The following is a 24,904-nucleotide window of genomic DNA, read 5'->3' as shown; positions in this document are numbered from 1 at the left end:
TCCCAGGGTGCCCCGCGCGCGCGCGCGCCGGCAGTTCGGCCACGTCCCTGGCCACGTCGCGGGCGATCTCGCCATCTTCGCCGCTTCCTCTCAGGGGCCGCCGCCTCCTGAGCCGCCCAGCCCCGGGGCCGCCGCGCTGCGCCGACCGCCACCGCCGCCGCCGCCATGAACATTTTCCGGCTGACTGGGGACCTGTCCCACCTGGCGGCCATCGTCATCCTGCTGCTGAAGATCTGGAAGACGCGCTCCTGCGCCGGTGAGCGGCGGGGGAAGGCCCGGAGAGGCTCGGGCGTGGGGGCCGGGTCTCGCCGAGGACCCGCCGACCTCGGCCACCCCACGGCTCGCGGGGCCTGCGCCGGCCCGACACACCCCCTCGGCCGGCCTAACGGGTGCCCGGACCCGGGGGGCAGCGGCCTGCGGGCCCTCGGGGTGGGCTCCGGGCCGGGTGTCGCAGCGCGGGACCCCGCTCTGCAGTCGGTCCCCGCGTGAACTTGAGCTGTCGGAGCGCACCCGGCTGCGCGGGGCCCTGCTGTGTCTGAAAAGTTGGCGTGGGACGGGGGGTCCGACAGGCGTGGCCCCTCTCTGGGCTTGAATGGGGGCGCTTCTCCGGCCGGGATCTCCCGTGGGGGTCCCGGGGTTGCAGGAAACCCGCGAATCAATGGGACGGGCGGGAGGAGGATGGGCAGGATCGTGGCCGGCTGCGCCTGACGTGGCAGCCCAGCCAGCTCGGGAGGTGGGGCGGGCGCCGGGAGAGGTCACTCGGCTCCCCACCCTGCCCGTGCAAGACCGGGCTCTAGGTGTGGTGTAGTGGGGTCGGGTCAGACCTGTCCTTAAGTGTTGTGTGGGCATCACCCAAGCCCTTGGGTCCAGGATCACACCGCTGGGGAGGGGCTTGCCGAGAGGTCGTCAGTGATTTTCTTGGCGTAATTAATGCTGCTTTGGGAAACGATCTGGTTTTTAAGTGCCTCCATCTAATAATGGGTTCTCTTAAAACTGCGGCGCCCGGGGACCGCCGAGGCCTCCTATGGGCTCCTGCAATTCGTTGCTCCACGTCACCAGTGAGCTGGCTGGTTCCCTGATCAAGAGTACAGATTTCATGCAGGCACTGCTAGGCGGCAGTGAAACGAGTCTTTCCCAGATAATAGTTTTGGACTTTTACATTTCGTTAATTTTAAAGGTATAATAATTGAGAGTTTTTAACTTATTTTTTTTTTTTTGGAGGCAGGGTCTCGCTCTGTCACCCAGGCTTGAGTGCAGTGTGTGATCACTGCTCACTGCAGCCTCTACCTCCCCTGGCTCAGGTAATCCTCCTGCCTCAGACTCCTGAATAGCTGGGACTCCATGCGTGCACCACCATGCCTGGCTAACTTTTTTTTTTTTTTTTTTTTTTGCTATTTTTTGTAGACACAAGGTTTCACCATGTTGCCCAGGCTTTAACTTTCTTAAAAATCCCTTAAACTTATTTTTGATGCTCGGCAAAATAATTTTTGTTGAACTCAAGAACTTAATTTTTTCAGAGGCAGTAAAAGATGATCCTGAATTATCTGGGTGCAGAGACTCTATTTACCTGATTTATTTCTAAAAATTTTGGCGTCTAAAGTCACACTTACATCTCTGAATCTGCTGTCTGCAGGCCTCGCCTGTCTCCTTGGAACATAACTGAGATCCGGGAAGTAAGCAAAACCAAAAAGACCTTTGAACAGTTAAGATGGGTGTTACAAAGTCCATGTGCCAGTGTGTTTGACTTGGAGGTTATCTCTCAGTTGATACATAGTTCTGAGAGGTTCAACTGTATGATTTCCAGTGACAGCAAATAACTGCTGCAGTTTGGGTAAGTGATGTTTAGGCACTTGCTGTATATCAAGTAGTCAGCCGAGTGCTTTATATGGCTTATCCCAGGTAGTCATTAAAATAACCTTAGGAGGGCCGGCCGCGATGGCTCATGCCTGTAATCACAGCACTTTGGGAGGCCGAGGCAGGTGGATCACCTGAGGTCAGGAGTTCAAGACCAGCCTCAACATGGAGAAACCCCGTCTCTACTAAAAATACAAAATTAGCCGGGCGTGGTGGTGCATGCCTGTAATCCCAGCTACTCGGTAGGCTGAGGCAGGAGAATTGCTTGAACCTGGGAGGCGGAGATTGCGGTGAGCTGAGATCGCGCCATTGCACTCCAGCCTGGGCAACGAGAGCGAAACCGTCTCTAAATAAATAAATAAATAAATAAATAAATAAATAAATAAATAAATAAATAAACGACCTTAGGAGGTAGGTGCTATTGTTCCCATTCTGTGGAGGTGGGATCTGAGTCTTAGGGAGTGGAATAAATTAGTGATAGAGCCAGGATTGAAGCACAATTAGTAACTCAAAGGATTGGATAGATGAATGTCTAAGGGAGCCTAAATAAACATTTGATACCAAACCACGATGTTTAGATCCTTTTTTGTTACACTCAGATGATGTTAGTTTTTTTGTTTGTTTGTTTGTTTGTTTGTTTAAAACAGTGGGACCGATGTCTCACTCTGTCCCCCAGGCTGGAGTGCAATGGCTGTGTCACGGCTCACTACAGCCCCAAACTCCTGGGCTCAAGCGATCCTCCCTCCTCAGCCTCCTGAGTTGCTGGGTACAGGTGTGAGCCACAGTGCCCGGCGATGTTACTTTTAATCTTTAGTTTTGCTTCAAAATCTTTGTGTGAGTCTCTTCATTTTCTTCCATATGTTTTTCAGAATCCCCTCCTCTGGCAAATCATTAAGCCTTGAAGTGTGCTGTCTCCTAAACTTTTATCCAAACTAAGATATTTGGGAGAATTTAGTGCAACTTCAGAATAATGATTTTTTTTTCTTTCTTTTTTTTTTTTTTTGAGATGAACTTTTGATCTTGTGTCCCAGGCTGGAGCGCAATGGTGTGATCTCGGCTCACTGCAACCTCTGCCTCCCGGGTTCAAGCGATTCTCCTCAGCCTCCTGATTAGCTGGGACTACAGGCGCTTGCCACCACGCTCGGCTAATTTTTGTATTTTTAGTAGAGACAGAGTTTCACCATGTTGGCCAGGCTGGTCTCGGTCTCCTGACCTCATGATCCGCCCGCTTCGGCCTCACAAAGTGCTGGGATTACAGGCGTAAGCCACTGCGCCTGGCCGTTTGTTTTTTACTATTCACTGTTTTCATTTGAGAGATTCAGGAGCATATAAGGAAAATATGAAATACTTCAGCTAAAATGCTAACGAAGGAAGTGAAATAGATGAGTTAACTTCGTGTGTGTGTGTTTGCCAAGTATTCCCGGGACATTATTAAATTGTTCTTGTTCTCAGACTTAGGATGATTTCTGTCCTGGTTTGTGTGTTTTCCTGATTTTAAGTAAATCACCCAGATCATTTATTCAGAATTAAATGCTAACTTTGACAAGCTGCTTTATTTTTCCATACTAAATTATAAAAGTTGTTTAGAGTCTTTTGAAAGAGTAAGAATTTGATATGAGTTTCTCAAATGACTGGAATAGGAGAAACGTGCATCCAGATTGTGTTTCTCATTTTGAAAATACTCATACCAAGGTTCATTTTTAGGATTTTAGCACTGATTTTGAAAATGCTGTTTTAGTCTCGGAACCATGGTGCTTTTTACCCCATAAGGATCAGGGATGAGGCTGACTCGTGTGGAAGCTGGAGATTCTGTGTTCCTCATAGGCAGATTCCAGAACAGCTGCCTTTAAGGACCGTTTTAAAGTGGGGGCAGTGAGTTGATCATGTTTGAGGCTGCATTCTCTTGTGGCTGTATCTGCTGTTGTCATTACAGAAGGGTGTCAACATGGAATGTGAGTTTCTCCTATTCTGAATTATCATTGCAGCTCGATCCACGGTATGCTCAAGTTGTCACTTTATTTTTGTCCTAAACACTGACCTACATAACCTCGGAAGAACAAGCGGTGGTTTTAGATGAAGGGCTTCCTATTCAAATTTTCCTGTAGGCCAATGGTTATTAGTGCTGTATCTACTGTAGTGCTGTGTCTATTAGTAGTGTGTATTACTGTAGCTAGTTATCAGTAGTGTGTATCTACTGTAGCTAGAGGAGTCTTTCTGAGATCCACGACCCCGGGCCTTCCCCCTCTAGTCTGTCTCCTTCCCTCCTTCCCCTGTTGCTTAGATTGTTGTTAGCTGTTATGTAGGTTGTAAACTTTTCATCCTACCAAACCCCATACTGGATCTTATGGTGTCCATACATTTCAGATATGGGACAGTTGATATTTTTGGAGTAATATAGTGGGTAAGATGTGGAGTACTCCAAGAAGCTTTTGCTTCACATATGCAGCTCCCTCTGTAGCTGTTTGGCCTGTGCTCTTTTGAGTGCCAGTCTCTGAGTAATCATTACTCTCATTTATTGACCACCCACTATGTGCAAGGCACTGGCACACAATTCAGAGCAGCAGCTTGTAGCTATTAAAAGTTTTTGTTCTTGGCTGGGCGTGGTGGCTCACGCCTGTAATCCTAGGACTTTGGGAGGCCAAGGCGGGCGGATCTTGAGGGCAGGAGATCCAGACCATCCTGGCTAACACGGTGAAACCCCATCTCTATTAAAAATACAAAAAAATTAGCCGGGCATGGTGGCGGGCGGCTGTAGTCCCAGCTACTTGGGAGGCTGAGGCAGGAGAATGGCATGAACCCGAGAGGTGGAGCTTGCAGCGAGCCGAGACTGTGCACTGCACTCCAACCTGGGTGACAGAGGGAGACTCCGTCTCAAAAAATCAAACAAACAAACAAAAAAAAAGTTTTTGTTCTTGGCCGGTCTTAGTGGCTCATGCCTGTAATTCCAGCACTTTAGGAGGCCAAGGTGGGTGGATCACTTGAGCACAGGAGTTCAAAACCAGCTTGGGCAGCATGGTGAAACCCTGTCTCTACCAAAAATACAAAAGTTAGCCAGCCGTGGTGGTGCGCTGTGGTCCCAGCTACTCAGAAGGCTGAGTGGGGAGGATTACTGGAGCCCAGGAAGTCGAGGTTGCAGCGAGCCGTGATCACACCATTGCACTTCAGCTTGGGTGACAGAGTGAGACTGTCTCAAAAACAAAAGACAAACAAAAGAGAGAAAAGTTTCTATTCTCAAGAAAGCTGCAATGTAGTTGAAATGATAGGAAAATGTACAAAAGATGGCCGAGCACGGTGGCTTACACCTGTAATTCCAGCACTTTGGGAGGCCGAGGTAGGTGGATCACCTGAGTCAGGAGTTCAAGACCAGCTTGGCCAATATGGTGAAACCCATCTCTACTAAAATTACAAAAAAGTTACCCGGGCGTGGTGGCAGGCACCTGTAGTCCCAGCCACTAGGGAGGCTGAGGCAGGAGAATTGCTTGAACCCAGGAGGCAGAGGTTGCAGTGAGCCGAGATCGCACCACTGCACTCCAGCCTGGGCGACAAGAATGAAACTCTTGTCTCAAAAAAATAAAAATAAAAAATAAATATTAAACTTTGCTGATGGACATAGAAGATGACCTGCATGTATGTTCATACTACGGTCCTGGAGAGCACCCAGGAAGGCTGGTGAGGAAGCAAGATGACATCTCTCCAAATTGATTTCTTAATTCAGAATAGTATCAAAGCTAAAGACAATAAACTGAGTGAAATAATCTGTAATATACCTAAGTGACAAAAGGTTAATATCTATAATAAAGTACTCCTACAAATAAAAACCCAGCTGAAAAATGGGCAAAGTTGGCAATTCACTGAAGAATAACGAAAGACCAATGAAGCATGAAAGGATGCTTAGTCTTGCTAGGAGTTAGGAATTTGAATATGAAAATAGCAGTGCGGCCAGGTGTGGTGGCAGCGCTTTGGGAGGTCAAAGCTAAAGGATCACTTGAGGCCAGGAGCTTGAGACCAGCCTGGGCAACATAGTGAAACCCTGTCTCTACAAAAAAAATGAAAAATTAGCTGGGCGTGGTGGCGTGCACCTGTGTCTTAGCTACTCAGGTGGCTAAGGAGGGAGAATCGCTTAAGCCCCAGGCTGCAGCGAGCTGTGATCATGCCATTATACCCTGGGTTGGGCAACTGAGTGAGGTTCTGTCTCAAAAAAAAAACCGGGGGGCGGGCAAGCAAAGAAAAAAGAACAGCAGTACATACCACTGGGTAGGAAAATGTTGGCAAGGATGTGAAGAAAGGGTCTTTGCATTTCGTGTTAGTAGATACGTAAATTGGCATAGCCTTTCTAGGAGAAATTTGACAATATCAAATTTTAAAATGTTCATGTCTTATTTTTGGTTTATGTGTTTTAATTTGCATTATTTGGGGTTACGGATTAAAATTTTTTAATTGATACATTATGATTGGATCTATTTATGGGGTACAGTTTGATGTTTCAATACATGTGTATGTTGTATAGTCTAATCTGGGTAGTTATTTCCGTCACCTCATGTGTTTATCATTTCTTCATTCGAAAACTTCTAACTATTTTGTAATATATAATACCTCATTGGGAAGATTGCTTGAGCCTAGGAGGTCAAGGCTGGAAGCTATGATTGCACCAGTCTACTCCAGCCTGGGCTACAGAGAGAGACCCCATCTCGAAAACAAAACAGAAAACAAAAGACATTTAACCTGGCCCAGTAGGATAAGACAAGAATGATGTTGTTTAATGACTGATTTCCATTTAACAAGTTGTACTCCTTAATATAGATGTTTGGTGTATTTGGTAAGGGGATATCAGTTTCAGAAACATTTACAAAAGTGAGTATTCTGGGAGATCTTATTACCTGGTAACCTTAGCATGCTTTGATCTCAAAGTGGAGAGAAGCCGACTAGGAGCTGCTCTGGTTTAATAGCAGGTATTCTACTCCCAACCCCTCCAGGAGATTCTTGCCCCACCCCCTTCTGTCTTCAGCTAGGATTCCCATTTTCCTATGAAGACAGGACAGTTTTGTTGTTTTAAAGGAAGAAGCTGCTACTTCCTAATCAGGATCTCAGGCTGGGGAAGAACAGTGTGGGACCACGTTAGCATCCGCAGATTTCCAGCAAGGCTGTCCTGCGTGGACGCTACTCCATGGACCGGCTTCAAACCACACACTGCCCTGTGCGCACCTGGGGCTCTCTCACCCTCTAGCTAGTAGTTAATTAGGGCAGAGCCCTATTTACAGTCACAGAGACACAGTATGACCTGGACATTCTTCAGAAGTGTTCTCCCAAAATACCACAAAATGAGAATTTGACCCCATGACATGAAGATAAAATGAATCCCATTTTCTTTTGTCCATTTATTCATTCAGCAAATATTTTCTGAGTCCTGCTGTGTGTCAGGGCCCAGTGTCCCATGCAGGGAATACAAGATGGAATAAGGCATGACCCCAGCCTTTAAAGATCTTGGTACTGAGTGAGGTTTTTGGGGAGAGGAGAGGCAGGAACCACATCATCACAGTGTATTTTTATAAGTACTGTAATTGGAGCTAGGGCAGCAGCTGGCATGAAGCAGTTCCCCTTATGTGCTTGCTGAATGAATCAACAGTCCTGAGGGAGGGTATCTTCAGAGATGACATCCCAGAGGAGGTGGGATATGAGCTGGGTCCCCACGGGGGCTGGTAAAGACAATATGATGGTCCCTGGTTTTCAGTATAGGAATGCTGGGAATGAGGACACAATTTCAAATCTGCCTGGCTTCCAAAGTTCTGTTAGAGTAAAACCCTTTCCCACAAAATTCACCTACTTGTATCCTGTATGTTTATATTTAAAATATTGGAAAGAACCATATAGGAAATAAGCTGGAAATTGATTTCTCAAGGCTTCAACAAACACCAGGTATGGTCTGACTGCTCCCTGTTCTTTCTTCTTCCCCCTCTGAAACCTCCCGGTTTCTTGGTTAGCAGCAGCCTTGTCATTTCCCCTTTGGAACATTGGTCTCTGTAGGAAGAAATCAGTTATCCGTTACGGGGAAAAGACTAAGAGCAGATTCACTGTCCGTGTCTCCTCCTTTGGCCCTTTGGTTTCTATTGATGGATCTGGAAGGGTGGCATCAACATTTTTTTCCATTTCTATTTAGATGTGTATGTGAATAGGCTGAGACTACAGTTATTCATCTGAGAAAGTAACATTCTTACATTCAGGTTTTCAGTTTCAGCAAGCTGCAAAATGATTGTTCATAAAATATTGAAAAACAACATGTAATACAAATATTAGCCAGGTGTGGTGGTGCACCCACCTGTAGTCCCAGCTACTCAGGAGGCTGAGGTGGGAGGATCACCTCAGCCCAGGGAGGTCAAAGGTGCAGTGGGCTGTACTTGTGCCACCGCACTCCAGCCTGGGCAACAGAGTGAGACCCAGTCTCAAAAAAAGAAAAGAAAAATAATGTGCTTTTCACGTTCCAGAGGAGTGTTGTGAATGATTTGGGTGAAGTGACTTTTCTGTTAAATTCATACTTACTAAAATGTGTAGTGGTGTGAAGTATGCATTATAGATGAGGGTGGGTGGGTTCTGACATTTAGTCAGCCTTCAGTTTCTTTAATGCATTTGCTCAGTCTCCAGCATCTGAAACCCATAGTTTGCGTCCTTTGTCACATAAATATTTGGCCAAATATAGATGTCAGAAAAGCTGTGTGCACACCACATAAATGTCCAGCCTTCCTGGCTGAGTGTGGCTGTGCCATGCAGTGCTCTGGAGGTGGGTTGGTGGTTGGAAGTGGAAACACAGTTTCAAGGCTTTAAAAAAGACAGCTGCTTTTGAAGACCAGCTGTAGTTGTGGGTTCATACCTTCATGTTGTCCTAGCATTCAGGAACATTTTTATACAAATACAATGGAATTTCTATTTTATTGTAATTAATTTATTTTTTGAGACAGGGTCTTGCTCTGTCACCCAGGCTAGAGTGCAGGGATGTGACCACAGCTCACTCAGCCTCAGCCTCCTGGAGTCACGCAATCCTCCCACCTCAACCTCCCATGTAGCTGGGACCACAGGTGTGTGCCACCTTGCCTGGCTATCACTTTTCTATTTTTCGTAGAGATGGAGTCTGGTCTCAAACTCCTGGGCTCAAGCGATTCTCCCGCCTTAGCCCCCCTATATGTGGAGATTATAGGCATGACCACTATGCCTAACTGAGAGGGAAGCTTTAAAAATCTTAACATATCCAAGTAATTGCCGCTCTTAGCAAAGAAGTCACCATGGGATGCGATGCCATTATTCCAGCGGGAGTTCCTGCCCAACTCTTACCTGAGTCGGTGCTTCTCATCTACTCCTCATCCCCCTTAATGACAGTAGACTCCATCTCCGTTCTCAAAAGATTTCTCACCATGGAGATACTGTTTTACCATACAAAGAAGGGACCAGGCGACATGGCTCATACCTGTAATGCCAACGCTTTGGGAAGCTGGGCCCAGGAGTTCAAGACCAGTGTGGGCAACATGGTGAACAAAAAATTTGTTTAAAAATTAGCTGGGTGTGGTAGTTCACACCTCTAGTCCCACCTACTCTGGAGGCCGAGGTGGGAAGATTGCTGAAGCCCAGGAGGTCAAGGCTACAGTGAGCTTGATCGTGCCTCTGCACTCCAGCCTGGGCAGCAGAGGGAGACCCTGTCTCAGGGGAAAACAAAAAAGAAAAATCTGAATGTAAGAGACAAGTTATAACACTAAATGACAGCAGAATTATTGAGAAATTTGTTCCTACTTAAGGTGATATATTTGAGAAGTAAAAGGTTCGTTTGAATGATACACATCCTGGCATAATAAAGCCCCTTTCCTGTGGTCGCCCTTTATAGTGAGACAGAAAAGCCTGTTAGAGCCTCCCAAAAGGAGCATGTTTGGGAATGGGAAGGGATAGAAAAACTACAACTGCTCTTGTTCATTCAGAGCCATCCCTAGACCTGGGCCTTGACCCCACGCACCCCTCCTTCCCTGTCTGCACTCCCTGCACAGTGTGATCCACAGGAATCCCAAAGCTCTTCAGGCCCTTCTAATACTTCCCTTCTGTTTCTCTAGGTATTTCTGGGAAAAGCCAGCTTCTGTTTGCACTGGTCTTCACAACTCGTTACCTGGATCTTTTTACTTCATTTATTTCATTGTATAACACATCTATGAAGGTATGGTATGCCATCCACAGGAATGTATTTCATCTACAGTGCACAGGTCTATGGACACTTAATTTATGTCAGCTGTGTATTTTTAATTAAAATGCTCCAAAAATAATGTCTTAATATGCTGTTCTTGACTTTAAAACTTTCAGACCACCTTGTATATATAACTGGGACTAAACGAGCTATCAGTAAGCATACATTTTTGGTTTCAAAACAGTAGTTAATTAAAATACTTTGAAGTTAGAACTTTTTTATTTTAGGTTCCTTAAGTATGATAAATCTAAAGCTCTTGATAACTCTGTAAGTAAGAGCGGTAACTATTATATTTTCAAGCCGTGGGAAATTACAGAGTCCCCAGAGAAATCCAGCAAGTTGGTACATAACAAGGAACGAAAGCAGGACTCCTAGTTGCAGTGTCTCATTTCGCTGCTGTGTGAGGAACTGTCTATAGGCTTCTATCTTTTTTCTTTGCCACTGAGTCAGTTTTACTTAAACTGTTGTGTGTGTGTCATTTTTATTACATTTGCCGTGCTTAAATGATCTCTATACCATCATTTACTTAGTAACGTATTTTTTTAAACCTTTCAACTTGTCCTAATTATTAGTATCTATAACACCTTTGTTGTCTTTCTTATATTTTTTCTAATTCACATTAAAACTAGTGTATAACTATTAAAATACAAAATGTTTGCACACCACCTAACACTTTGTGTAGCACTGGTGGCACACACCCCACACTGGGGGAAGTTGTGGACTACGTGAGCTTCAGTTCTTTCGCACAGTGTTGAATTCATGCTTGTGAACACCTACAGAGCTGGGAACTGAGGATGCGGCAGAAAATAAGCAGAAGTCTCTAGGCTGGTGTGGGAGAGTACACAGATCATGGCAGTACAAATGACTGCGATTTATGATGGGTGCCACAAAGGAAAAGTATAAGAGTTGCGAACCTATGGATATAAAAAACATGAAACAGGCCCAGTAGCTCCCGCCTGTAATCCCAGCACTTTGGGAGGCCAAGGTGGGTGGATTGCTTGAGCCAAGGAATCCGAGACCAGCCTGAGCAACATAGTTAGACCCCTGTCTCTAAAAAAAAAAAAAAAAAAAAAATACAAAAATTAGCCAGGCATGGTGGCATACTCCTGTAGTCCCAACTACTCAGGAGGGTAAGGTGGTAGGATCGCTTGAGCCCTGGAGGTTGAAGCTGCAGTGAGCCGTAATTGCACCACTGCCCTCCAGCCTGGCAGCCTGGGTGACAGAGCAGGATCCTGTCTGAAAAAAAAAAAAAAAAAAAAGAACAGGGGCTCTCAGGATATGTAATAGGAGTCTGATTTCTTTCTTTCTTTCCTTCTTTCTACAAATACTGAGCACCTGTGCACCAGGCACTATTCTAGGCCATTTGGTTATTAGCATACCCAAGGAAGTAATATTTCAACTGAATCCTATTGGTATGGCACCTAAACAACCTCCCCCCAACATTTTGTGTTCAAGAGCATTTTCATAAGCACTGTTGAAAGGAGACAAAGCAGTATGTGAGTCTGGTCTTTACTAAAAAGCAAATTTGAGTCACTTATAATGGATTCTTCATTACCAAATGATGGGAACCTAGTATTCAGGAAATAATGAGCTTACTTAAAAATGGTTAGGTCCCCACTTGTCTAGGCAAGTTAAAACTGCAGGCATTAGAGGTGTGTGAGCAAGAATCCTCTCTCCCCCTCAGGATGCCCAGGTTTCAGAGGAATCCATGCTTGCTTGGTTGTAGTTTCTAAGCACGATGTCCTGAAAGTCTGGCGTGAGACCCGAGGTGCTCGTGTCTTTTTACTTTAACTTCTGTGTGCTGGTGAGAGGAGAGAAGCAGCTGTTCTTCTCCAGGTGCTGCTAAGGCCTTAGTGGAAATAACGCCCATCAAGTTTTTATTAATGTTGAGCTGGCCACAGTCTAGGTCCTGGTGAGAGGCCTCTCTGCTGTGAGCCTTGGCTAGATGCGCTGAGGGGGCTCAGTGCATGTGTAGATGGATGTGTGTCTTGTTTATGCATGTAGATTTTGTTTTGTATTTATTCACATACATGGTGAGGAGATCGAGACCATCCTGGCCAACATGGTGAAACCCCATCTCTACTAAAAATTAGCTGGGTGTGGCGGCATGCGCCTGTAATCTCAGCTACTGGGGAGGCTGAGGCAGGAGAATTGCTTGAACCCGGGAAGCGGAGGTTGCAGTGAGCCGAGATTGCTCCACTGCACTCCAGCCTGGTGACAGAGCAAGGCTCCGTTTCAAAAAAAAAAAAAAAGTTAAACTTACACTTAACATATGACCCAGCAGTCCCACCCCTAAGTACATACCCAAGAGAAGTGAAAACTTACATTCACACAAACACTTGTACGCAAATGTTCACAGCAGCTTTATCCACTGTCCTCCCAAATTAGAAACCACCTGTCCTTCAACTGGTGAGTGAATAAACAAACTGGTGCATCCATACAATGGACCACCAATGGACGCAGCTATAAAAAGGAACAAATTATTAACACTAGGCCCTCACTTAATGTCATTGGTAGGTTCTTGAAGTGAAACAACACACACTGCAACTTGAAGTGAAACAACATACACTGAAGCCAGTTTTACCATAGGCTAATTGACATGAGTAAGAGTTAAGTTCCTACAGCATATTTCCGGTCCCCAAAACACCACCAGACTTTTAAATAAAGACCCAAAACAGGCCGGGTGCTGTGGCTCACGCCTGTAATCCCAGCACTTTGGGAAGCCGAGGCAGGCAGATCACCTGAGGTCAAGAGTTCGAGACCAGCCTGACCAACATGGAAACCCCGTCTCTACTACAAATATAAAAATTAGCTGGGCATGGTGGCAGGCGCTTGTAATCCCAGCTACTTGGGAGGTTGAGGCAGGAGAATCGCTTGAACCTGGGAGGCGGAGGTTGCAGTGAGCCGAGATTGTGCCACTGCACTCCAGCCTGGGCGACAGAGCGAGACTCCATCTCAAAAAAAAAAAAAAAAAAAAAAACCGAAACAAATGTGAGCTATACATTTATTTATTTATTTATTTATTTATTTTTTATTTTTTTTGAGACAGAGTCAGTCTGTCACCCAGGCTGGAGTGCAGTGGCGAGATCTCGGCACACTGCAAGCTCCGCCTCCTGGGTTCACACCATTCTCCTGCCTCAGCCTCCTGAGTAGCTGGAACTATAGGCACCCGCCACCACGCCCGGCTAATTTTTTGTATTTTTTTTAGTAGAGATAGGGTTTCACCATGTTAGCCAGGATGGTCTCGATCTCCTGACCTCATGATCCGCCTGCCTCGGCCTCCCAGAGTGCTAGGATTACAGGCGTGAGCCACCATGCCCAGCCAACATGAGCTATACATTTAAGAAAGATTAATAAAAGCAACATAATTATTTATCCAGTTTTTGGTGAATCCGTGCATGATGGTGGTCATAGTGGTGGCGGATTAAATCAAGAAGTATATGTTTACAAACAAAAATTATAAGGAGTACCTCCTACTACCATAAAGTTCAAAAACAAACAATAACAAATATAGCAGGCTCACTGAGTGCTTTTGTACTACATTGTTTATTGTGGTACATATGTATAATTATTGTATACTACTTTATGAATTATTTTACCATAGTTTGTATTCATTTTCCAACCCACTTACTTCATTTCAGGGTCCCAGGTGGCCAGAGCCTATCCCAGCAGCTCAGGTTCAAGGCGCGAACTTTCCCCCAACTGCATAGGATGCCATTCCATCACAGGGCGCGCTCACCCACACCCACTCACACTAGGACAGTTCACACATGCCAGTTCACCTAACTGGCATCGTTGAGATGTAAGAGGAAACCAGAGTATCTCTGGTGGGAGATTCTCCAAGAGTATCTCTTGGAGAAGACCCACGTGGACTCGGGGAGAGCATGCAAACGCCATGGATGGCGGCCCCAGCCGGGAACCAGTTTCTTTTCTCATCAGTGTTACAACCAAAGGATGTTATTGGCAGACCTGCTATACACACAATAAGTTTGGTTGCCTCTCAGATGCATTAGGCTAACTGAAATTGGACCCAGAAGGCAACATACTATGTGACTCCATTTATGTGGCTTTCTAGAAAAGGCAAAACTATGGACAGAGAACATAAGTGTGATTGCACTGCAGGAGGTGAAGGAAGCCTGGGGGAGTTTGACTGCGAAGCGGCAGCATGGCAGAATTTTGGGGATGATGGAACTATTCTGTGTCCTAATTTTGGTGGTGGTTATGCCTCAGAACTGAACACCTCCAAAAAAGAGAATTTTACTATATTTAAGTTTTAAAATTCCAAAAACAAAGCTAAGGAAAAAAATCTTGCCTTTCCAAATACATGGGTGATTAAAAAAGCTGGGGGGTGCTGGAACAGTGGCAAGGTATTGACACCTGGTGTTTTTTCTTTTATTTGTAGGTTATCTACCTTGCCTGCTCCTATGCCACAGTGTACCTGATCTACCTGAAATTTAAGGCAACCTACGATGGAAATCATGATACCTTCCGAGTGGAGTTTCTGGTGGTCCCTGTGGGAGGCCTCTCATTTTTAGTTAATCACGATTTCTCTCCTCTTGAGGTTAGTTTAAAAGGTTACTTAGGGCCAGGCATGGTGGCTCATGCCTGTAATCCCAGCATTTTGGGAGGCCGAGGCGGAGTTCAGCCTCCACTTTGGGTGGATCATGAGGTCAGGAGTTCGAGACCAGCCTGGCCAACATGGTGCAACACCGTCTCTACTAAAAATACAAAAAATTAGCTGGGTGTGGTGGCACGCACCTGTAATCTCAGTTACTCAGAAGGCTGAGGCAGGAGAATCACTTGAACCCAGGAGGCGGAGGCTGCAGTGAGCCGAGATCACGCCATTGTACTCCAGCCTGGGTGACAGAGCAAGACTGTCTCGAGGGAAAAGAAAAAAGAGGTTATGGCTGGGCGTAGTGGCTCACGCCTGTAATTCCAGCACTTTGGGAGGCCAAGGTGGGCACATCACGAGGTCAGGAGATCGAGACTATACTGGCTAACATGGTGAAACCCCGTCTGTACTAAAAAATAAAAAAAATTAGCTGGGCATGGTGGCGGGCACCTGTAGTCCCAGCTACTGGGGAGGCTGAGGCAGGAGAATGGCGTGAACCCGGGAGGTGGAGCTTGCAGTGAGCTGAGATTGTGCCACTACACTCCAGCCTGGGCGAGAGAGTAAGACTCCGTCTCTCAAAAAAAAAAAAGAGGTTATTTAGGTCTGGGCCTGGTGGCTCACCACACCTGTAATCACAGCATTTTGGGAGGCCGAGGTGGGCAGATCACTTGAGGTCAGAGGTTCAGGCATTCAGCCTGGCCAACATGGTGAAACCCTGTCTCTATTAGAAATACAAAAACTGGCCATGCGCAGTGGCTCACGCCTGTAATCCCAGCACTTTGGGAGGCTGAGGCAGGTGGGACACGAAGTCAAGGGATTGAGACCATCCAGCTAACACGGTGAAACCCCGTCTCTACTAAAAATACAAAAAACTAGCTGGGCGTGGTGGCGGGCGCCTGTAGTCCCAGTTACTTGGGAGGCTGAGGCAGGAGAATGGCGTGAACCTGGGAGGCGGAGCTTGCAGTGAGCCAAGATCGCGCTACTGCACTCCAGCCTTGGCGACAGAGCGAGACGCTGTCTCAAAAAAAAAGAAGAAAGAAAATCAAAAATTAGCTGGGTGTGGTATCGCACGCCTGTAATCCCAGCTACTCAGGAGGCTGAGGCAGGAGAACCACTTAAACCTGGAGGCGGAAGTTGCAGTGAGCCGAGATCGAGCCACTGCACTCCAGCCTTAGCGACAGAGCAAGACTCCATCTAAAGAAAAAAAGTTAATTTCATGGTCATGTCTGGTTATCTAGAATGGACCTATTTGCATGTTTGCAGATCGTGTAGGTTTTCATGGAGTTTTTTGTTTTTATTTTCTGGTTTGGCAAACTCTAGTGCAATGTTCATGACTGGTGTAAAAAAATCGTAGATGAGAATTAAGCACCCACATATTTAGGTGTCTGCTGACAGTTTACTGTCTGATTCATTTGAAATAGAAACTTGAAACTGTATTTCATTATCTTGACTTCAGTGGTACCAAACACAGAGCCCTGCCTGTCCCAGTGTGGGAAGAACAAGGTCTCCCTCCTGTAGCCCACATTTTGTTTGCTTTTCATGTACAGATGTGCACTGATGTCGTGTCTGTGACCCTGCTTAGCAGCACTCTGCACCTCTTGCCTTTAGGAAAGCTGGTTTGTGGTGCCCCTAGTACTGTGCAGTGAGCTGATCTGCTCCTGAGTGCCTCTTCTTTCCCTGCTGAACAGGCAAACGGTGCTGCTTCACATCCTGGGGCCGATCAAGTCACTGTGCTACCCTGGGTGTCTGATGGGTGCTGGGAGTGCCTGGACTTTTCTTTTTTTTTGAGACAGAGTCTCGCTGTCACCCAGGCTGGAGTGCAGTGGCATGATCTCGGCTCACTGCAACCTCCGCCTCCTGGGTTCAAGCGATTCTCCTGCCTCAGCCTCCCGAGTAGGTGGGATTACAGGCACCCACCATCATGCCTGGCTAATTTTTGTATTTTTAGTAGAGACCGGGTTTCACCATGTTTTCCAGGCTGGTCTTGAATTCCTGATCTCAGGTGATCTGCCTGTCTCGGCTTCCCAAAGTGCTGGGATTACAGGCATGAGCCACCACACCCAGCCATGCCTGGACTTTTAAAATACTCAAGGACCCTCTGAAAGTCCTTCTATCATCATCGTGAATAAAGTCATACGCTGGGCAGAGAATTTCCATAATTACAGTTGTGACTTCTACCCCTTTGATTTAACCACACCAGAAAGCTTAAGGAATAAGAAAAATAGTGAAAATATTTCAGTAGTTTGGCAAGATCAGTCAGTGAGGAAAAACAGCAGTGAGGAAGTGGAAGGAGCTTATCAATTATCAGTATTGTCAATCCTGGCGGAAAGCAGGGTTGATTTGGTATCCCAGATCTGGAGCAGGACAAGCTTGTCCAGGAGAAACCTCTGTATGTAGATTCATAGAAAATTGAAGAGGGAAGAATAAACCTGGAGAGACAAGGTGATGAAAATTCAAAGAGGTAGAGGTGTCCAGGTTACCCAGCTTGTCACACTGGCAGTGCCTTGCCTCTTAAAGGTTGCTTAAGTTTCTGTGATTTATGCCAGGAGTCCTCAACCCCTGGGCCACTGACTGGTACTGGTTCATAGCCTGTTAGGAACCAGGCCACCCAGGAGGAGATGAGCCGTGGGTGAGCAAGTGAAGCTTCATTGTATTTATAGCTGCTCCCCATCACTCACATTACTGCCCAAGCTCCACCTCCTGTCAGATAACTGGCAGCATTCAATTCTCATAGGAGCATGAGCCCTATTGTGAACTGTGCATCTGAGGGATCTAGGTTGCATGCTCCTTATGAAAATCTAATGCCTGATGATCTGTCACTGTCTCCCATCACCCCCAGATAGGACCATCTAGTTGCAGGAAAACAAGCTCAGGGCTCCTACTGATTCTGCATTATGACGAGTTGTATAATTATTTCATTGTATATTATAGTAATAACAGAAGTAAAGTGCACAATGATTGCAATGTGCTTGAATCATCCCGAAACCATCCATCCACCCTGCTGGTCTGTGGAAAAATTGTCTTCTATGAAACCGATCACTGGTGTCAAAAAGGCTGGGACCACTGGGTTATGCAGTTGCCAAGCTGTTGTTCTATTTTGGGCCGACATGCCCCACTCCCCACTCATCTTAGGCTGCTTTGTGGTAAAGAAAGCAAGAGTGTTTCCTCTGAGCTCCTGGTGGGCAGTGGGTCGTGATGGAAGCTTGCCATTTCTCTTCCAGATCCTCTGGACCTTCTCCATCTACCTGGAGTCCGTGGCTATCCTTCCGCAGCTATTTATGATCAGCAAGACTGGGGAGGCCGAGACCATCACCACCCACTACCTGTTCTTCCTGGGCCTCTATCGTGCTTTGTATCTTGTCAACTGGATCTGGCGCTTCTACTTTGAGGGCTTCTTTGACCTCATTGCTGTGGTGGCCGGCGTAGTCCAGACCATCCTATACTGTGACTTCTTCTACTTGTACATTACAAAAGGTATGTTGGGTGCGACCTGCGTTGTTTCTAGAGTGACGTGTTCTTTTAGGAGTGCCCTTGCCCAGCACTCTTCTAATCTGGCACTCTCTCATAAACTGGCTCCAGAGAAACACTTTCATGATTGGCCAATAACATTCTGGATCAGGATGTTGTCTTTTTAAATATAAGAACCCTTTTTCTTTTGCAATAGCTTTTCCTAAAGTGACACATTTTCACTGTAAAAGATTCATCTGGTGTTTCAGTGAACATTAACACCAGATACCTCTCTATGCATACACAGACACATGACTTAAACTGTACATTGCTGTTCTATACACTGCTTTTATCCCCTCACATTTTTCATGTCACTAGAAATCTACATAATTTTCAGTAGCCACAGAGTGTTTCATTATGTGCATGTACCATAATTTATTTACCCAGCCCCCATTCATGGGTGGTCAGGCCGTTACTGGTTTGCTGTTAAAATCCAGTCATTAAATCAGCATCCTTGTGTATATGTGTTTTTGCATTTGTATGAACATAGGACGTGTGAACTTTACAAATATTTGATGAAAGCTATCATCCTTGTTCAGAAAAAAAAAAACATTTATGCCAGGTGCAGTGGCTCACGCCTGTAATCGAGCACTTTGGGAGGCCGAGGCGGGCGGATCATGAGGTCAGGAGATCGAGACCATCCTGGCTAACACGTGAAACCCCGTCTCTACTAAAAATACAAAAAACTTAGCCAGGCGTGGTGGTGGGCGCCTGTAGTCCCAGTTACTCGGGAGGCTGAGGCAGGAGAATGGTGTGAACCTGGGAGGCGGAGCTTGCAGTGAGCCCAGATCGCGCCACTGCACTCCAGCCTGGGTGACAGTGCGAGACTCTCTCTCTCAAAAAAAAAAAAAAAAAAGATATTTACGCAAATGCACCCAAATGCATGTATATAGTTTTGAGGGGTTCAGGAGCCCCTGAAACCCAACCACAGATCCCAGGCTAAAAATCCAGCTATACAATAAAATTCCTAATGGTGGAATTGCTAGGTAAAAAGCATATATAGGTCGGGTGCGATGGCTCACGCCTATAATCTCAGCACTTTGGGAGGCCGAGATGGGTGGATCGTCTGAGGTCAGGAGTTCAAGACTAGCCTGACCAACATGGCGAAACCCCATCTCTACTAAAAATACAAAATTAGCCGGGTGTGGTGGCACATGGCCTGTAATCCCAGCTACTTGGGGGGCTGAGGCAGGAAAATCTCTTGAACCCGGGAGGCAGAGGTTGCAGTGAGCTGATATCACGCCATTGCACTCCAGCCTAGGGAACAAGAGCAAAACTCTGTCTCAAAAAAAAAAAAAAAAAAGAAAAAAAAGAGCATATATGTCTTATCTCTTTCCTTTTGTTTTTTTTGAGACCGAGTCTCTCTCACCCAGGCTAGAATGCAGTGGCTTGCTCTCAGCTCACTGCAACCTCTGCCTCCCAAGTTCAAGCGAGTCTGCTGTCTCAGCCTCCCGAGTAGCTGAGATTACAGTCGCGCACTACCATGCCTGGCTAATTTTGTTTTGTTTTGTTTTGTTTTGAGACTGAGTCTTGCTCTGTCACACAGGCTGGAGTGCAGTGGCGCAATCTCGGCTCACTGCAACCTCCACCTTGCAGCTTCAAGTGATTCTCGTGCCTTGACCACCCTAGTAACTGGGATTACAGGTGCGCACCACCACGCCCGGCTAATTTTTGTATTTTTAATAGAGACGGGGTTTCACCTTGTTGGCCAGGCTGGTCTTGAACTCCCAACCTCGTGATCCGCACACCTCAGCCTCCCAAAGTATTGGGATTACAGGCGTGAGCCACCACGCCTAGCTTTTTTTTTTTTTTTTTTTTTTTTTTTTTTTTTTTTTTTTTTGAGACAGAGTTTTGCTCTTGTTGCCCAGGCTGGAGTGCAATGGTACAATCTTGGCTCACCGCAACCTCCACCTCCTGTGTTCAAGCGATTCTCCTGCCTCAGCCTCCTGAGTAGCTGGGATTACAGGCATGCACCACCACGCCCAGCTAATTTTTGTATTTTTAGTAGAGATGGAGTTTCTCTATGTTGGTCAGGCTGGTCTCGAACTCCCGACCTCAGGTGATCCTCCTGCCTCAGCCTCCCCAAGTGCTGGGATTACAAGCATGAGCCACTGTGCCCAGCCTAATTTTTGTATTTTTATTAGAGATGGTGTTTCACCATGTTGGCTAGGCTGGTCTTGAACTCCTGACCTCAGGAGATCCGCCCACCTCTGCCTCCCACAGTGCCGGAAGTATAGGCGTGAGCTACCTCACCCTGCCATCCTTTGTGTTTTTTTTTTTTTTTATCTTTTTAAAGAGACAGGGTCTCACTCTGTTACTCAGGCTGCAAGAATGCAGTGGTGTGATCCTTCCTCACTGCAGTCCCAAACTCCTGGGCTCAAGTGATCCTCCCTGCTCATCCTCCTGAGTAGCTGGGACTACAGGTGCATGCCACCACACCTGGTTCTTTTTAAAATTTTTTTTTTATAGAGATGGGGTCGCTCTCACTTTTTTTGCCCAGGCTGGTCTTGAACTCCTAGCTTCAAGGGATCCTCCCACCCTGGCCTGCCAAAGTACTGGGATTACAGGCATGAGCCACTGCATCCGGCCTTTATGTTATAGTACCCAGAATTTCATAGGCCTCCCTACATAAGCTATATTTTACTATATATTGATTAGGGTGAAAGTCATAATAACAAAAAGCCACTATGAATTTAGTGGCACTTTCAATCAAATTTGTATTTTTAAAATACAATTGCTTATTTCCTATACCTTACTATGTAGAATCTTGTGTGTGGGAGACTTCTAGGAATGGGAAGAAGGAAGCTAAGTTTGTCAATATCAGTAACCTTTTGTTTTCTTTTCTTCTCTTTGAAATTCTAGTACTCAAGGGAAAGAAGCTCAGTTTGCCAGCATAAGTGCCAAAGACCATCACCAGCATCTGTCCTTCAGGGTGCTCGGACAGAATTCTTACCACAGCAAAGGCATAAGATGCTTGATACGGAAAATCAGAAACTTAACTCTTTTGTTGCAGATAGTCATCAGTGGCTCTGTAAAAACGCAGAGGAAAAGAGCCAGAAGGTTTCTGTTTAATGCATCTTGCCTTATCTTTTTTTATTACTGTGTACAAAGATTTTTTTACACAAAGAAACTTAATGCTGTATTAATAAATTCAGTGTGTAGCTTCAATTGGGATAGTTCCAAAAGTGAAGATTTTGTGAGGAATAAGTGCAAATTTTTTTTTTATTTTAAAAAATTCTTTGAAACTCTTAAGTCTTTGTGTCTGCAATGAAATTGTACTCCTTGACAGTTGATAGATTATATATTCTTCCATCCCTCAAACTTGCATTCCACTATATTTATTTTTTGGCAAAAGATGAGCTGTATTTGTTTGAAATCTGAGACACTATGTTCAATTGGATGTATCTGTTCAAATTTATTCCCACGTGACGTGGAAGTCCTTCGTTGGATGTCACAACACTACATTTAAGGTTGGTAAGGATGACTTGGAGGTCCATGGTTTTCATTACCAACATTTTAAGATTCTGAATGTCGATGGAGTCTCACTGAAGAGTCACCAAAGGTGCCTGCCCTCCTCCCCTGCTGGGAAGTGTCAGTTGGAGACTGTCCCAAGGGTGCTGAAGAATCCAGTGGCAGGGGTTCTGGCTGCTTTCCATCTGAGTGTGGGATGGGAGGGGTGTTCATGATCATTTGGATATAGCAATCTACTCTGAGAAATGGAACACAAGGAGTTACCTATCACTTTCACTTATAATTCCAAAAGATGACTACAACCATGTCCATGCTCAGATTCAAACAGTTTTCCATATCACTTTTGGGTGGTAAGATGATTTAATTACAGTTTTTTTTTTAATTGGCAGCACCACTAACCATTCCTTACATTCTTTTTTGTATGTGTGGTTTTCTTTTTATTTAACCCGCAGCCGACATCGTAGTTTCTTGTTTTGTTTTGTTTTACAGAGCTGTTGCATGACTTATGTTACCATCCTAAAAAACACTATATTAAACATGGAATAAATTGTCTTTTTATGAATTAGGCTTTTTGAACATCCTGTGTTGGGATTTTTTTGTTTTTCAATTGGCAACAAAAGCTCTGTAGGGCTGCAGACATTTAAAGTTCACATAATCATCTGTAAGACATTATGTATTTTGTGGAAATACTAGAATTTTTTTCCTGATTTTGCCATTATATGGATTTGCTATTTTTTGATTAATGCAAAAGTATATGACTTTGTTTTTTATGTGATACACCATAAATATTAAAGTGTTGAATACTAACAGTGCTGACTACAAGAAGGATGTAGTATTTTGGCTTTCTGCATTACAACGTCTTCTGGAGGAAGGGAGCAGGATGGGTTTCATTTGTATCTAGTGTGTGTCTTAACATCTTTCTAAATCGGCAGTGTAACTGCATAGTTTAACTTCCTGTCTGTCTCCCTCATTTTACTCTTCCCTCCTTGTCTTATGTTTTGGCTTTTGTGTATCAGAGCATCTTTCTTTGCAGCATCCTAGTCTTGCTTCAGTTTCTGTGGTCTCTTTTCATCCTGCTTGAAGATTCGGAGTGTGGAAGGAGGCTAGGAAGTCTGGTGCAGTAGGTGAGCAGACCTCTTGCTGCCCAGCCCAGGGTGGGTGGGGCGCACACCTGTCTTTGTGCATGCAAATCTGATACACCTGGCGCATCCTCTGGAGAGCACAACGCATGGAAAGGTCTGGAAGCTCTGTGTAGCCATTCCTTCTGCAGTCATCCTACCCAAGTAAAAGTAACCTTGGCTATGTTACCACCGTTTTGGTCACCCAGGAGGACATCTTAGCAAGGGTGCCTGCGAGGGAGTGTGGGACTGGGCCTCATCCTCGCCGGCGTTGGAAACCAAGGCCTTGTATGCCACGCCTTATGAAGCACTGTTTCACAGTTACTTTCACTTCCCGAATAAAGGTTACCAGGTAATTAATATTTTTATTGAGGTGTTTGTGTGTTTTTCAATGTAAGCATCATGAGAAATAAAGCAAAGTTCAGATATTTGCCCAGTAATGGATATAGGAAAAGCTGCTTTCCAGCCAGGCCTGGTGGCTCATGCCTATAATCACAGTACTTTGGGAGGCTAAGGCAGGAGGATCACTTAAGGCCAGGAGTTTCAGACCAGCCTGGGCAACCTAGCAAGACCACATCTCATTTAAAAAACTAGTAAAAATGAAAACTTAAAAATAATAAAGGCTTCTATCCATTGGCTCCTTAACAGAGAGAGACCAATCTATTCCCCTGTCCAGTTCAATCACAAAGAAACTTTGAAGAAGTTTCCCTGTTGCCTTATGCCCTGGCTAAGAGAAGAGCAGGTGGAGAAGTGGTTTTAATGGAGATCATAGTGATTTATGGGAACCCTTAAGTAAGAAAAGCACATGCTTTGGGCCCAGGCATGTGTTGAGGCTTGGTTCCCTCACTTGTACTCCCTGGCCCTGGACTTCACGTGAGCCTCGTTGCCTCCAGTTACATAGGTAAACTGCCAGGGATTTCTGTGTGGTTTAAATGAGCTGCTGTTGGCAAAGCTCGTGGCTGGAGCTTGGTACATATACAGTAATCATATTTGCCCTCCTAACTTTCTGCTTACTTTGTGACATCTGTTTGAAAAGCTGGTTGGAAACTGGTTCTGGCAGGAGTCCCTCTGACTCGTTTGATATGGGTCAGTTTTGCCAGAAGGTTCACAACCCTCCTTAGGCGCAGCGGCTCACACCTGTAATCCCAGCACTTTGGGAGGCTGAGGCGGGCGGATCTCTTGAGGTCAGGAGTTTCAGACCATTCTGGCCAACATGGTAAAGCCCCCACTTCCACTAAAAATAAAAAAATAAGCCGGGTGTGGTGGCACACACCTGTAATTTCAGCTACTTGGGAGCCTGAGGCACAGGCATCGCTTGAACCTGGGAGGCAGAGGTTGGAGCTGCTGAGATCATGCCACTGCACCCCAGCCTGGGAAACAGAGTGAGACTCCATCTCAAAAAAAAGAAAGAGCCAGGCATGGTGGCTCACACCTATAATCCCAGCACTTTGGGAGGCGGAGGCGGGTGGATCAGGAGGTCAGGACATCGAGACCAACGTGGCTAACACGGTGAAACCCCGTCTCTACTAAAAATACAAAAAAATTAGCCGGGCGTGGTGGCGGACTCCTGTAGTCCCAGATACTAGGGAGGCTGAGGCAGGAGAATGGCATGAACCTGGGAGGCGCAGCTTGCAATGAGCCAAGATCGCGCCACTGCACTCCAGCCTGGGCGGCAGAGCAAGACTCCGTCTCAAAAAAAAAAAAAAAAAAAAGAAAGAAATTGACTCCTTGGTACCTTCCAAAAGCAGCCACCCATCTGAGGCTAGCTTGATTGGATCTGCGTGGGTGTTTTCTGTGTGCCTCTGTCCTCGTACCACCCAGCCATCCTCACAACTATCTGGGTTAACTGGAATCTGTAGCCTGGAATCTGCTGGAAGTGCTGTGGGTGTTTCTCCAGTTTTGAAACAATTCCTTTTGTCCCTGCACTTTAAAAGCCATTTGCAGCGTAACATAGTACATATCCTTTTAAGCAATGACAAGGGTACTTTTTTATAATACTAAAATAAAATGCTCTGCCTAGTTTCATCTTGGGCACTTAAAAGGTGAGAGTCACCTGGCGTGGTGGCTGACGCCTGTAATCCCAACACTTTGGGAGGCTGAGGTGGGCGGATCACTTGGGGTCAGGAGTTC

General features: G+C 45.7%; 1 protein-coding gene across 2 annotated transcripts, besides 4 other annotated features; it reads left to right on the top strand.

Annotated features, from left to right (window-relative positions):
* Positions 71 to 23,134, top strand: KDELR2 (KDEL endoplasmic reticulum protein retention receptor 2). 2 transcript variants are annotated; one of them, NM_006854.4, is made up of 5 exons: positions 71 to 256; positions 9,939 to 10,039; positions 14,469 to 14,627; positions 17,900 to 18,152; positions 21,048 to 23,134. In NM_006854.4, exons 1-5 carry the CDS (start codon positions 166 to 168, stop codon positions 21,080 to 21,082), a joined length of 639 nt encoding a protein of 212 aa, NP_006845.1. In that variant the 5' UTR covers positions 71 to 165; the 3' UTR covers positions 21,083 to 23,134. The 2 variants fall into 2 exon arrangements, with proteins under 2 accessions (NP_006845.1, NP_001094073.1); NM_001100603.2 differs by lacking the exon at positions 17,900 to 18,152.
* Positions 75 to 294: a silencer, noted in NCBI's record as "silent region_17944". NCBI's record gives its function as "represses an Ori minimal core promoter by ATAC-STARR-seq in GM12878 lymphoblastoid cells {active_cell/tissue: GM12878}" and the evidence as "EXISTENCE:reporter gene assay evidence [ECO:0000049][PMID:35858748]".
* Positions 385 to 444: a silencer, noted in NCBI's record as "silent region_17943". NCBI's record gives its function as "represses an Ori minimal core promoter by ATAC-STARR-seq in GM12878 lymphoblastoid cells {active_cell/tissue: GM12878}" and the evidence as "EXISTENCE:reporter gene assay evidence [ECO:0000049][PMID:35858748]".
* Positions 1,115 to 1,184: an enhancer, noted in NCBI's record as "active region_25626". NCBI's record gives its function as "activates an Ori minimal core promoter by ATAC-STARR-seq in GM12878 lymphoblastoid cells {active_cell/tissue: GM12878}" and the evidence as "EXISTENCE:reporter gene assay evidence [ECO:0000049][PMID:35858748]".
* Positions 4,842 to 4,931: an enhancer, noted in NCBI's record as "active region_25625". NCBI's record gives its function as "activates an Ori minimal core promoter by ATAC-STARR-seq in GM12878 lymphoblastoid cells {active_cell/tissue: GM12878}" and the evidence as "EXISTENCE:reporter gene assay evidence [ECO:0000049][PMID:35858748]".
* Positions 23,135 to 24,904: the final 1,770 nt, after the last annotated feature.

The sequence above is a fragment of the Homo sapiens genome, chromosome 7 (genome assembly GCF_000001405.40).
Source record: "Homo sapiens chromosome 7, GRCh38.p14 Primary Assembly".
NCBI classification, from domain to species: domain Eukaryota; kingdom Metazoa; phylum Chordata; class Mammalia; order Primates; family Hominidae; genus Homo; species Homo sapiens.
Note: the sequence above shows the minus strand (reverse complement) of the source record. Positions and strands in the feature narration are given on the sequence as shown.